The sequence below is a fragment of the Homo sapiens genome, chromosome 7 (genome assembly GCF_000001405.40).
Source record: "Homo sapiens chromosome 7, GRCh38.p14 Primary Assembly".
Taxonomy (NCBI): domain Eukaryota; kingdom Metazoa; phylum Chordata; class Mammalia; order Primates; family Hominidae; genus Homo; species Homo sapiens.
The window spans coordinates 101,308,131-101,322,047 of NC_000007.14; the positions used below are offsets into that span (position 1 = coordinate 101,308,131).

The 13,917-nt window shown below is 50.4% G+C and overlaps 1 protein-coding gene and 1 long non-coding RNA gene across 7 annotated transcripts, besides 2 other annotated features; one reads left to right on the forward strand and one right to left on the reverse strand.

Moving 5' to 3' along the window:
* The first annotated feature begins 176 nt into the window (after positions 1 to 176).
* Positions 177 to 3,209, forward strand: EMSLR (E2F1 mRNA stabilizing lncRNA). Its single transcript, NR_110115.2, has 2 exons — positions 177 to 418; positions 2,354 to 3,209. It is a non-coding gene; the product is annotated as an E2F1 mRNA stabilizing lncRNA (long non-coding RNA).
* Positions 848 to 1,675: an enhancer, noted in NCBI's record as "H3K27ac-H3K4me1 hESC enhancer chr7:100952259-100953086 (GRCh37/hg19 assembly coordinates)". NCBI's record gives its function as "activates a minimal SCP1, AML or CMV promoter by ChIP-STARR-seq in naive H9 embryonic stem cells {active_cell/tissue: H9 hESC(naive)}" and the evidence as "EXISTENCE:reporter gene assay evidence [ECO:0000049][PMID:30033119]".
* On the reverse strand, positions 2,784 to 13,693 carry IFT22 (intraflagellar transport 22). 6 transcript variants are annotated; one of them, NM_001287525.2, is made up of 6 exons: positions 13,541 to 13,682; positions 13,297 to 13,369; positions 10,826 to 10,902; positions 9,994 to 10,083; positions 8,210 to 8,412; positions 2,784 to 7,152 (listed from the first exon to the last, which is right to left on the reverse strand). In NM_001287525.2, exons 5-6 carry the CDS (start codon positions 8,385 to 8,387, stop codon positions 7,004 to 7,006), a joined length of 327 nt encoding a protein of 108 aa, NP_001274454.1. In that variant the 5' UTR covers positions 8,388 to 8,412; positions 9,994 to 10,083; positions 10,826 to 10,902; positions 13,297 to 13,369; positions 13,541 to 13,682; the 3' UTR covers positions 2,784 to 7,003. The 6 variants fall into 6 exon arrangements, with proteins under 6 accessions (NP_001274454.1, NP_073614.1, NP_001124293.1 ...); NM_022777.4 differs by lacking the exon at positions 13,297 to 13,369; NM_001130821.3 differs by lacking the exon at positions 13,297 to 13,369 and having other exon boundaries at positions 10,826 to 10,933.
* Positions 13,405 to 13,524: a silencer, noted in NCBI's record as "silent region_18483". NCBI's record gives its function as "represses an Ori minimal core promoter by ATAC-STARR-seq in GM12878 lymphoblastoid cells {active_cell/tissue: GM12878}" and the evidence as "EXISTENCE:reporter gene assay evidence [ECO:0000049][PMID:35858748]".
* Positions 13,694 to 13,917: the final 224 nt, after the last annotated feature.

Here is a 13,917-nt window from a genome sequence, read left to right on the forward strand (position 1 = left end):
TTGTGGAAAAGTGTAAATAGTCTGCTCCCATTTCTATTAGCTAACACACCTGTGTGCACACGGAGCTTTCAGTCCAGTCTGGAAGGGGAGGGCGGGGCCTTCCCGGGAGTGAAGGGGGCGGGGCCGACCCAGACCCTCCAGGGAACGCCCTTGAGTAACTCGCGCACTTGGGGCCCGTTTCCACCTAGGACTACAGGCTCAAGATGGCCTGGTAGATGCAGCCGGCACGCACCTCTCCTCTGACGGGAACCGAAGGAGCCGGTAGGTTTTCACACTTGCAGCAGATCCGCTAAGAGAACGCGGGATTCAGCCGAGAAGCCACGGGGAGCCCGAGGAGCGGAGCAGAGGCACCCAGGCAGCCTGCGCGGAGAAATTGGATCGGCGGGGACGGCCTGCAGCTCCCGCGCGCGGGGAAAGGGTGAGTGAGAGACCCCGGGGCTATGCAGTTCCCCCAGGGACTTCCACAGCCCCCCGACCCTCGCGGACCTCCAGAATAGGGGGCAGCGGGCGAGAGATTCCCCAGCGGCGTTGCAGGAGCCCACGTGGAGCCCACGTGGAGCCCACGGGCTTCCTTGCCCTGAGCAGCTGCAGCTGCAGCCCCTGCCACCCCGAGAGTCCAGCCCCGAGGGCAGCTCCTGCCTTGCCTGCGGTTACCGCCGCCGCCAGCTGAGGGCCAGGGAGGGAGAGGGGAGGCCAGGCGCTCTCAGGAGTCCCAAAGGACAAATAATCCCGCCGCTGCCGCGGGACCCAGACACGAGCCAACTGCGCGCCCGCCCTGCCCCGCCTGAGCTTTCCGTCCGCCGCCTGGGGCCCAGCCCTTCCCTGTCTGTCACAACCAGAGCCCAAACCCCGGGGGCCTGAGGACAGTCCACTGGCGGCTCCGTCCCCTGAGGACCTTGAGCAGGAGGGCCAGGGGCCTGGGGATTGGTGGCTGTTCTGCCCTTTCCGCCACCGTTGGCGGCTGAACACTCCTCCCCGGGGTCTGGGGTCAGGGACCCAGCCTGTGGGATACCACCCAACTGCAACTGTCCTCATCCACATCACACTCACTGCTCCAGGGCCTGGGATCAACCACGAGCTTAGCTGGGGCTTGCAGGGACCAGCCCCACAGGGTCGGGGGGCTTCTCCCTGTGTGCGGCGACGAGAGAGTGTAGAAATAAAGACACAAGACAAAGGGATAAAAGAAAAGACAGCTGGGCCCGGGGCACCACTACCACCAATGCGCGGAGACCGGCAGTGGCCCCGAATGTCTGGCTGCGCTGTTATATTTTGGATACAAAGCAAAAGGGGCAGGGTAAAGAGTGTGAGTCATCTCCAATGATAGGTAAGGTCACGTGGGTCACGTGTCCACTGGACAGGGGGCCCTTCCCTGCCTGGCAGCCAAGGCAGCGAGAGAGAGAGACAAAGAGAAAGACAGCTTACGCCATTATTTTTGCATATCAGAGACTTTTAGTATTTTCACTAATTTACTACTGCTATCTAGAAGGCAGAGCCAGGTGTACAGGATGGAACATGAAGGCGGACTACGAGCGTGACCACTGAAGCACAGCATCACAGGGAGATGGTGAGGCCTCCAGATAACTGCGGGCAAGCCTGACTAATGTCAGGCCCTCCAACAAGAGGTGGAGGAGCAGAGTCTTCTCTAAACTCCCCCGGGGAAAGGGAGACTCCCTTTCCCGGTCTGCTAAGTAGCCTGTGTTTTTCCTTGACACTGAGGCTACCACTAGACTACCGTCCGCTCGGCAAGGGGCGTCTTCCCAGAAGCTGGCGTTACCGCTAGCCCAAGGAGCCCTTCTGGTGGCCCTGTCTGGGCATAACAGAAGGCTCGCACTCTTGTCTTCTGGTCACACCTCACTATGTCCCCTCAGCTCCTATCTCTGTATGGCCTGGTTTTTCCTAGGTTATGATTTTAGAGCAAGGATTATTATAATATTGGGATAAATTAATTACTACCAACTAATGATTAATGATATTCATATATAATCATCTCTAAGATCTATATCTGGTATAACTATTCTTGTTTTATATTTTATTGTACTGGAACAGCTCGTGTCCTCGGTCTCTTGCCTCGGCGCCTGGGTAGCTTGCCGCCCACAGGGGCTGCCACTACCAGGATTCGAGCAGAGCACCTAGAGGACTCCAAATTGCTCCCCTGAACCCATTAATGCCAGAGCCAGCCTACACCGCTCCTGGGCTCAAAGACTGGCCCACCTTAGCCTCTTAGTCCCCAGCAACCACACCCTCCACTAATAACCACACCCTAAGCCACCCAAGAAATCATACAGAGCCTACAGTACTACCCCAATCAAAGCCAAAGTGCCCCACCTAACCAACACCCTATCTACATTTTTAGGAAGAAGTCCTCCCCTACAAAGCAAATTCACAAACTTGGAAGAAGCAATTTACACAGGATGTGCAGATCTCAATGGAAGGACACGGGAAACGTGAAAAAGCAAGGAAGTGGGACGCCTCCAAAGGAACCCAGTAATTCTCCAGCAACAGATCCCCATCCAAAAGAAATTCAAGAAATGTCATATAGAGAATTGTGGAAACTGATTTTAACCAAGATTAGAGGGATTCAAGAGACTTCTGAAAAAGAAAGTAAGGAAATGTCAACAGCAATTCTGGATATGGTTGAGGTATTTACCAACCAGATACAGAGTTTTCCAGAGCACATGGCAAATGTGGAACTGAAGAAATCACTGGATGAAATACAAAGTATACTCGAAAGCTTCAATGATAGACTAGATCAAGCAGAAAAAAAACTCTCAAAACTTAAAATCTGAAGGCTTTTACTCAATTCAAATATTTAATGGGTTGTACTCTGGCCATTCAGGTGAACAAAATCTGCTGGGTTAATTTTTTTTTTTTTTTTTTTTTTGAGATGGAGTCTCGCTCTGTCGCCCAGGCTGGAGTGCAGTGGCGGGACCTCGGCTCACTGCAAGCTCCGCCTCCCAGGTTCACGCCATTCTCCTGCCTCAGCCTCCTGAGTAGCTGGGACTACAGGTGCCCGCCACCACACCCGGCTTATTTTTTGTATTTTTAGTAGAGGTGGGGTTTCACTGTTAGCCAGGATGGTCTCGATCTCTTAACCTCGTAATCCACCCGCCTCGGCCTCCCAAAGTGCTGGGATTACAGGCGTGAGCCACTGCGCCTGGCCTTGGGTTGTTATACTGGGGTCTTGAATAATCATTAAAGGTGAAATGAAAATAATTTCCTTTTGAGGTGGTCAATTTTGTGAGATGGATTCTTGTTAGGCAGCTGTCATGGAAAGATGATTTAGTTCAGTTGACATTAATAATACGCATGGTAATCCTAACAGGTGAATGTGGTTCAAACTAAATTGCCAGGGAATTGTCATGGTCTAGAAAAGCCACTCTCTCCAGTAGACTGCTCACACAGCTACATGTCAGCCCTCCTCACTGTGAAAGTGACAGACACCCTAGCATTTTTATTCATCTCCCTTAGGTGCCTCAACTTTTTCTCCCACTCTCAGCTGAAAAGAGCTACATCTACCATTTCATCTACTTAGTGTATTTTCTTATTGGCTATGTTAAAAAATTACAAACATAACAATTATGAATGAAAAATAACTCCATGGCTGGGTGCAGTGGCTCACACCTGTAATCCCAGCACTTTGGGAGGCTGAGGCGGGTAGACCACAAGGTCAGGAGTTCAAGACCAGCCTGGCCAAGATGGTGAAACCGTCTCTACTAAAAATACAAAAATTAGCCGGGTGCAGTGGCAGGCACCTGTAATCCCAGCTGCTTGGGAGGCTGAGGGAGGAGAATCAGTTGAACCCGGAGGGTGGAGATTGCAGTGAGACTCTCAAAAAAACAAAACAACACAAAAAAATCTCCTAAGATGATTAAAACAAACTTGCTTCTACAATAAACCGTAAACTCACCGTATCTAGTGATTCTGTACATTAAATCTTTTGAACATGTTTACCAATTTGGTGTTATGAAAAATTTTTTAGAGGTTGTGTATGGGCTGGGCACAATGACTCATGCCTGTAATCCCACCACTTTGGGAGGCTGAGACGGGCGGATCACTCAAGGACAGGAGTTCGAGATCAGCTGGGGCAACATGGCAAAACCCCATCTCTACAAAAAGTACAAAAATTAGCCAGGCGTGCACTAATTAGTGGGCTGGACCATTACTGGTGTGTGTATCTCTAGTCTCAACTACTCAGAGGCTGAGCTGGCGAGATCAGTGGAGCCCAGGAGATTGAGGCTGCTGTGAGCTGTGGTCATGCCACTGCACTCCAGCCGGGATGACAGAGTGACACCGTGTCTCAAAAAAACAAAAAACAAAAAATTGTGTCTGTACTCCACTTTCCAACTGGATATAGTGTCCATATCAAGGTCATCTAAATAAATATAATGTTTTGGAGAGAGTTGTTTTTTTTTTTTTTTTTTTTGTGACGGAGTCTCGCTATGTTGCCGAGGCTGGAGAGCAGTGGCGCGATCTTGGCTCACTGCAACCTCTGCCTCCTGGGTTCAAGTGATTCTCCTCCCTCAGCTTCCTGAGTAGCTGGGATTACAGGTACCCGCCACCAGGCCCAGCTAATTTTTTGTGTTTTTAGTAGAGTCGGGGTTTCACCATGTTGGACAGGCTGGTCTCGAACTCCTGACCTTGTGATTTACCTGCCTTGGCCTCCCAAAGTGCTGGGATTACAGGTGTGAGCCACTCCACTCGGCACTTTTTTCTTTTTTTTGAGATGGAGTTTTGCTCTTGTTGCCCAGGCTGGAGTGCAATGGCACAATCTCGGCTTACTGCAACCTCCGCCTCCCAGGTTCAAGCGATTCTCCTGCCTCAGCTTCCCAGGTAGCTGGGATTACAGGCACGTGCTACCACGCCCAGCTAATTTTTGTATTTTTAGTAGAGACGGGGTTTCACCATGTTGGACAGGCTGGTCTTGAACTCCTGACCTCAGGATTTCCACCCGTCTCAGACTCCCAAAGTGTTGGGATTACAGGCGTAAGCCACTGCACCCGGCCTCCAGGCTCAAGCAATTCTTATGCCTCAGCCACATGAGTAGCTGGTATTACAGGTGTGTGCCAACATGCCTGGCGAATTTTTGTATTTTTAGTAGAGATGGGGTTTCGCCATGTTGGCCAGGCTGTTCTTGAACTCCTGGCTTCCATCAGTTCTCCCATCTTAGCCTCCCAAAGTGTTGGGATTACAGGTGTGACCCACTGCAACTGGCCAGGCACTTCAATTTTTTTTTTTTTGCTCTGTCACCAGGCTGGAGTGCAGTGGTGCGATCTCGGCTCACTGCAGTCTCCGCCTCGCGGGTTCAGGCAATTCTGCCTCACCCTTCTGAGTAGCTGGGACTACAGGCATGCCCCACCATGCCCAGCTAATTTTTGTATTTTTAGTAGAGACGGGGTTTCACCATGTTGGCCAGGATGGTCTCGATCTCTGGACCTTGTGATCCGCCTGCCTCGGCCTCCCAAAGTGCTGGGATTACAGGCGTGAGCCACCACGCCCAGCCAGGCACTTCAAATTTTTTGTCTCTGTGTGTCTGCGAATAACTGAGAAAGTGCCACAGTATTGATTTGGGGGTTACAAACATATTTTAGTGAGTAGGCAAATTCTCAAATACAAAATCTATGAATAAGGATCAAGTATACGTTCATTTGGCATTTTAAGTACCCCAGGTTCCCTCATTATCTGAGGGAGGGCAGCATATGAAACTTATTTAGACTTCTTCTTAAACATTTAATGTAATTTAATTTATTTGAGACAGGATGTCTGTTGCCCAGGCTGGAGTATAGTGGCGCGATCTCGGCTCAGTGCAATCTCTGCCTCCCAGGCTCAAGCAATTCTTATGCCTCAGCCACCTGAGTAGCTGGTATTACAGGCGTGTGCCAACACACCCTGTGAATTTTTGTATTTTTAGTAGAGATGGGATTTTGCCATGTTGGCCAGGCTGGTCTTGAACTCCTGGCCTCAAGTGATCCGCCTGCCTTAGCATCCCAAAGTGCTGGGATTACAAGTGTGAGCCACCGCTCCTGGGCTAGAACTCTTTTTTTTTTGAGATGGAGTCTTGCTCTGTTGCCCAAGCTGGAGTACAGTGGCGCAATCTTGGCTCACTGCAACCTCTGTCTCCCGGGCTCAAACAATTCTTATGCCTCAGCCTCCCAAGTAGCTGGGATTACAGGCACGCGGCACCACACCCAGCTGATTTTTCTATTTTTAGTAGAGATGGGGTTTCACCACGTTGGTCAGGATGGTCTCGATCTCCTGACCTCATGATCCGCCCACCTTGGCCTCCCAAAGTGCTGGGATTACAAGTGTGAGCCACCACGCCCCGCCTAGAACTCTTATAGAGAATGAAGAATGCGTTTTGATTTTCTTTTTTGCATATCCAAGACATTGCACTCAAGTTTCTGAATCGGCCTATTAGGTTGGTGCAAAAGTAATAGTGGCTTTTGCCATTAAAAATTAAAAATGGCAAAAACCACGATTAGTTTTGCACCAACCTAACATTTAGGAAAATGGAGAGTTCCACGAAGGTGGGAATTTCTGTCTTTTTCATTTATGCTGTCTATGGTCAGCAGCTAGAACAGCAGTGCACACACAGCAGGTGCTCAGCCAGTCGGTATTTGTTGGGTGAATCAAGGAATGAAAATCACATTCAAGCCAATACACGTGATTAAACTACTGTTGTATCATTGGGCTGCGACGGTTACAAGTCCACAAACTGTTTAACTGGACATATGTGAGGTGGTAAATCCCTCCATTTTACAGGTCTTTGGGAAGTTCTGGGGCCAGGAAATCCAAATTTGATAATAGGATTTTCTCAACTGAACTCAGGGCAGAGCACAGATGGTCTGAGTGAACGCCCTGTGTGACAGGTGCCTTCCTGCAGGTAGGAACACTTCCTCTGCAGTCAGAGGGAGAAGAAAACATCAGGAGCTGGATGTGATTTCAGATCTGCACCGAGAAACATGCTGATTTCACTGGGGATGTGGCAGTCCCAGGTGAAGGCTGGCTAGGTCATAATTGACATCTCCTCCCTGTCTCTGCTCTCAGACATGGAGTTGATTATGCTTTTTAAATACTTTATGAATTCCATCCGGATCTCCTCAGGGTCATCTTCCAGGTTTGAGTGCACCAGCTTCAGCTTGTTCAAGGGTGGCGCTTGAAAATGAAGATAAGGTTAATTAGGCAAAGAGTTTCCATGAAGGGCCCTTTATAGCTCCCAATGAAACTTCTAGAAGAAATTTAACTTTCTGAAGTTCACAGATCAAGTTGTCTTCTTGACACCAGAGAACAGAGAATGGGTTTGCTATACTGCCCCCTGGCGACAGGATGAAAACCTTACAAACCACTTTCCAGGTCTTCTGTTCTTAAACCAGAAAGGAATAGATTCTCTATTATTCTCATTTTGTTTCTGAATATTTTGTGAGTTCTTTTTCAGGATGACTGTGTCACCTCTGGGATGTGTGTTATGTGAATTGGAGGTTTTTCTCCAGAAAAGTTCTTTCAGAAAGAGTGCCCCCCTAGTTGTACCCAAGAATAGCTACAAGGATTTTCCCACTCTGTATTCTGCTCTTTTTTTTTTTGAAACAGAGTTTCACTCTTGTTGTCCAGGCTGGAGTGCAATGGCACAATCTCAGCTCACTGCAACCTCTACCTCCCAGGTACAAGTGATTCTCTTGCCTCAGCCTCCTGAGTAGCTGGGATTACAGGTATGCACCACCACCCCTGGCTAATTTTTGTATTTTTAGTAGAGATGGGGTTTCACCGTGTTGGCCAGGTTGGTCTAGAACTCCCGACCTCAAGTGATCCGCACACCTTGGCCTCCCAAAGTGTTGGGATTACAGGTCTGAGCCACCGCACCCGGTCTTTTCTCTTTTTTTTTTTTTTTTTTTGAGATGGTGTCTCGCCCTGTCACACAAACTGGAGTGTAGTGGTGAGATCTCAACTCACTGCAATCTCCGCCTCCTGGGCTCAAGCAATTCTCCTGCCTTAGCCCCCTGAGTAGCTGGGAGTACAGGCGCCTGCCATCATGCCTGGCTAATTTTTGTATTTTTAGTAGAGACGTAGTGGACTCACATGGAGAGGGTAACAATTGCCTAGGGTACAGTAGGTGCTCAGTAACTGGACAGAGCTGCTGGTTTCTAGGACATGGGACAATATGTAGGTGTCCAAAACATTCAAGACAAAAGAGGAAGAGAAATTCCAGTTTCCTTACACAAAGACAGGCTTCCTTTATCATCTCCAGAGCCTGGTTTGTGGTGTGCAATTAGCATACACTGTGTGTCCTGTAAGGACGGCTGTTGGACAAAGCAGGAATACCACATCTCCATTTCCTTCCGGTGGCTTGGGATGTCAGCATTGAAGACGATCACCACTCCATGAGCATCCTTCATCAGGGCCGGCCAGCAGGACTCAAACCTGCGAGGAAGAAAAGGAACAACAGGGAAAGTTAGGTCATTCTGGTTTCTAACTGTGGACTTTAAAAAGAATATCTTAGTATTAAAAGTTGGTCTATGACGGCTGGGCGTGGTGGCTCACACCTGTAATCCCAGCACTTTGGGAGGCCGAGGCGGGCGATCACGAGGTCAGGAGATCGAGACAATCCTGGCTAACACGGTGAAACCCCGTCTCTACTAAAAATACAAAAAAGTTAGGGGAGTGTGGTTGTGGGCACCTATAGTCCCAGCTACTCGGGAGGCTGAGGCAGGAGAATGGCGTGAACCCAGGAGGCAGAGCTTGCAGTGAGCTGAGATCGTGCCACTGCACTCCAGCGTGGGTGACAGAGCGAGACTCTGTCTCAAAAAAATAAAAAAAATTTTAAAAAAAGTTGGGGGATGACTTTTTTTTTTTAAGAGACAGGGTCTTGCTCTGTCTCCCAGGCTGAAGTGCAGTTGTGGGATCATAGCTCACTGCAGCCTCCAATGTGGGCCCAAGTGATCCTTCTGCCTCAGCTTCCTGAGTAGCTAGGACCACATCAGGTCAATTTTATTTTTTGTAAAGGTGGATGATTTCTTCATTAAAAAAAAATTATTATTATTATTATTATTTTTGGAGACAAGAGTCTGGCTCTGTCGCCCAGGCTTGAGTGCCGTAGCACGATCTTGGCTCACCGCAATGTCCACCTCCCAGGTTCAAGCGATTCTCGTGCCTCAGTCTCCTGATTACTGGTACACACCACCGTACTGGGCTAAGTTTTGTATTTTTAGTAGAGACAGGGTTTCGCTATGTTGGCCAGGCTGGTCTCAAACTCCTGAGCTCTGGTGATCTCCCAAAGCAATGGATTACAGGTGTGAGCCATGGTGCCTGGCCCCTATTTTTTTTTTTTTTAAAATGAGGTTTCATCATGTTGGGCCGGCTGGTCTTGAACTCCTGACCTGAGGTGATCTGCCTGCCTCAGCCTCCCAAAGTACTGGGATTACAGGCGTCAGCCACTGCGCCTGGCCAAGGTTGATGACTTCTAACTGCATCATAACCTAATCACTAAAGTGTATAAAGCAATGCATGTCAGCAAATCATTTATCAAGCTCCTCATACGTGCCAGGAAACATACTAGGCCCAACTTCATGGTGCCTGGTGGGCAGCTGATTTTTTTGTTTTGTTTTGTTTTTTGAGCTAGAAGTCCAGCTCTGTCGCCCAGGCTGGAGTACAATGGTGCGATCTCAGCTCACTGCAACTTCTGCCTCCCGGGTTCAAGCAACCTCCGCTTGAACCTCCAGGGTTCACTGCAACCTCCGCCTCCAGGTTCAAGCAGTTCTCCTGCCTCAGCCTCCCAACTGGGATTACATGTGCCTGCCACCAAGCCTGGCTAATTTTTTGTATTTTTAGTAGAGACGGAGTTTCGCCATGTTGGCCAGGCTGCTCTTGAACTCTTCTCCTCAGGTGAGCCACCCACCTTGGCCTCCCAAAGTGCTGGAATTACAGGTGTGAGCCACCGCCCCTGGCTTGGGCAGCTGATTTTTAAACCATTTGATGAAGTGACTTTCTTTAAAGGAAACATACTTAGCATCGCCACCACAGTCCCATAGCTCGAATTCACAGCCCGTGCCTTTGTTGTTGCTGGTAACATGCGGGTTCTCAAATTCTAGGATCCTAAAAGGAAAAAGAAGAGCAGTAGGCTGGGTGCAGTGGCTCACGCCTGTAATCTCAGCAGTCTGGGAGGCCAAGGCGGGCAGATCACTTGAGGTCAGGAGTTCGAGACCAGCCTGGCCAACATGGTGAAACCCTTGCTACACTAAAAATAAAAGAATTAGCTGGGCATGATGGTGTGCACCTGTGATCTCAGCTACTGGGGAGGCTAAGGCAGGAGAATCGCTTGAACCTGGGAGGCGGAGATTGCAGTGAGCTGAGATCGTGCCACCACACTCCAGCCTCAGCGACAGGACGAGACTCCATCCCAAAAAAAAAAGACGAACAGTAGCAGCACCAATAATGAGGCTGCATTACACTTTTGGAATGCCAACAGCAACAAAAGTAGGAAGTGGGTGATGGCTGGGCAGTCTTTTAAAATTGTTTTATTATTAATTTTGTTTTGAGACAGGGTCTCACTCTGTCACCCAGGCTGGAGTGCAGTGGCACGATCATAGCTCACTGCAGCCTCCAACTCCTGGCCTCAAACAATCCTTCTGCTTCAACCTAACATGTAGCTGAGACTACAGACACATGCCAACACACCTGGCTAATGTTTTATTTTTAGTTGAGACGGGGTCTCCCTATATTGCCCAGGCCTCAGGCGATCCTCCCGCTTTGACCTCCCAGAGCACTGGGATTAGAGGAATGAGCCTCCCTGCCGAGCCAGTTGGACACTCTGGGACACAGATTTGTCAGGGCTCACCTCACTCCTTGGGTTGGGCTGTATTCAGTGATGTCAGAAGATTCTGTCAGAAAGTTGGCCAAAACAGTTTTTCCACTCTGTGAAAATGAGTGCAAATAAAGGTCTTTGCTGAAAGGCAGAAAAGGAAACCAAAAAAATGACCCCAAGAGGTGGCCTGGAACCCGGTGTGGTGCAGTATAGGTCATGGGCACCCTGAGATCACTGGGGTGGTTACGACCTCACTGTCTTGCTCTAGTGCAGTGGGCACAGCCTGGTCTGGGGTCCAGGGAGCATGGGATTAAGGAGTTTTTATTTTTATTTTTTGAGACAGAGTTTCACTCTTGTTGCCCAGGCTGTGATCTAGGCTCACTGCAACCCCCGGGTTCAAACGATTCTCCTGCCTCAGCCTCCAGAGTAGTTGGGATTACAGGCGCCTGCCACCACGCCCGGCTTACTTTTGTATCTGTAGTAGAAATTGGGGTTTCACCATGTTACTCGGGCTGGTCTCGAACTCCTGACTTCAGGTGATCCACACACCTGGGCCTCCCAGAGTGCTGGGTTTATAGGGATGAGCCACTGTGCCCAGCCAAGGAGTTCTTTTAGGTCACAGAGAGGATCAAAGTCAGCCTGGGGACTCGTGGCTAGCTGTCTCATAATCTCACATGCAGCTGTTTGTCCATCTCGATTATATGAGTAATACACATTGCTTTTTTTTTTTTTTTTTTTTGAGACAAGGTCTTGCTCGGTTGCCCAGGCTGGAGTACAGCAATGTGATCATAGCTCACTGCAGCCTTGATCTGTAGGGCTCCAGTGATCCTCCTGCCTCAGCCTCCTGAGCCACCTGGGACTACAGGTGTGCATCACCATGCCCAGCTAATTTTTGTATTGCTTGTAGAGATGGGGTTTCCCTATGTTGCCCAGGCTGGTCTTGAATGCTTGAGCTCAAGTGGTCTCCCCACCTCAGCCTCCCAAAGTGCTGGCAGGTGTTAGCCACTGTGCCTGGCCTAAGACTTCTACAGGTTTTATTTTATTTTTTTTTTAGATGGAGTTTCGCTCTTGTTCCCCAGGCTGGAGTGCAATGGCGCGATCTTGGCTTATTGCAACCTCTGCCTCCCGGATTCAAGCAATTCTCCTGCCTCAGACTCCCGAGTCACTGGGATTACAGGCATGCACCACCAAGCCCAGCGAATTTTTGTATTTTTAGTACAGATGGGGTTTCACCATGTTACTCAGGCTGGACTCGAACTCCTGACCTCAGGTGATCCACCTGCATTGGCCTCCCAAAGTGCTGGGATTAGAAGCGTGAGCCTCCGCATCCGGCTGGGTTTTTTTTTTTTAATTATTATTAGTTTTTGAGACGGAGTCTCGCTCTGTCTCCCAGGCTGGAGTGCAGTGGCGCAGACTTGGCTCACTGCAAGCTCCACCTCCCGGGTTCACGCCTCAGCCTCCCGAGTAGCTGGGACTACAGGCACCCGCCACCACGCCCGGCTAATTTTTTGTATTTTTAGTAGAGACGGGGTTTCACCGTGTTAGCCAGGATGGTCTCGATCTCCTGACCTTGTGATATGCCTGCCTCGGCCTCCCAAAGTGCTGGGATTACAGGCGTGAGCCACCGCGCCCGGCCTTTTTTTTTTTTTTTTTTTTTTAAACGCATTTAGCCTTAGTCCATCTGAGCTTTATTTCTGTGGATGATGTGAAGTATACATGTAGATGTGATCCCCACTACCACGCCCCCAACACACACATTAATAGCCAATGGTTCCAGGACCATATAGTAAAACGCCCAGGACTCGAGCAAAGGCTCATGCCTGTAATCCCAGAACTTTGAGAGACTGAGGCGGGAGGACTGTTTGAGCCCAAGAGTTGGAGACCAGCCTAGGTGCTAGGCAACATAGCAAGATCCTGTCTCTACAAATAATTAACAAATTAAGGCCAGGCGCGGTGGCTCATCCCTATAATCCCAGCACTGTGGGAGGCCGAGGCTGGCGGATCACTTGAGGTCAGCAGAGACCAGCCTGGCCAACAAGGTGAAAACACACCTCTACAAAAAATACAAAAATTAGCCAGGGGTAATGGCGTGGGCCTGTAATCTCAGCTACTCAGGAGGCTGAGGCAGGAGAATCGCTTGAACCCGGGAGGCGGAGTTTGCACTGAGCCAAGATCATGCCACTGCACTCCAGCCTGGGTGACAGGGCGAGACTCTGTCTCAAAAAAACAAAACAAAACAAAAACAACAAATTTAGTCGGGCGTGGTGGTGCACGCCTGTAGTCCCAGGTACTCAGGAGGCTGAGGCAGGAGGACTGCTTGAGCCCAGGGAAGTCGAGGCTGCAGTGAGCTATGATCACACCACTGCACTCCAGCCTGGACGACACAGCGACAACCTGTCTCAAACAAAAGTCCAGACCCACAGACGCATTCATTAGGGGGATCCCGGGGGCAAAAGAAAGAGTCACGAAACCTAGGCTATGGTTCCAATGATGCCACTCAGTACCTTGGGCCTTCGGGGCTCATTAACACCGGGCTCGCCTCCACTACCTCCTCCGGGCAGTGGTTGGAATCAAGGTCTGAAAGCACCGAGTTCACGGAAAGGGCAGGGGCGCCAGTCGGGATGGGCGCGGTGGGCCCGGGTTCCCGCCTCCGGGAGCAAGCCGCAGATCAGACGGGTGGGGACCTGCGCTCGCCCAGGCCCCGAGGCCTGCTCCCCGCTCCCTCTGCCGCGCCGGGCCAGGACTTACCTCGCAAGGCCCCACGAAGAGGATCTTGGCTTTCAGCATAGTTGTCCGCCGCGGCTTAGCCGGCCGGAGCCCACGGGAGGCGGCGCGTCAGGACGGAGCTCTACTTGGCCGCTTTCGTTTCCATGGCGACGGAGAGAGGCCCGCAGGGCCGACGGGACTCGGCCACTTCCGGCGCGCGGGGCGGAAAGCGGGCGCGTCTGCGACTGGGAGGGGGTCGGAGAGAAGCCACAAAGCCCGGGCTGCAGACGCGGTTCTGCAGGGTTGGCCTGTATTTCTTTTAGAGACAGGGTCTCACTCTGTCGCCCAGGCTGGAGCGCAGTGGCGCGATCTCGGGTCACTGCAACCTCCAACTTTTGGGCTCAAACGATCTTTCTGCC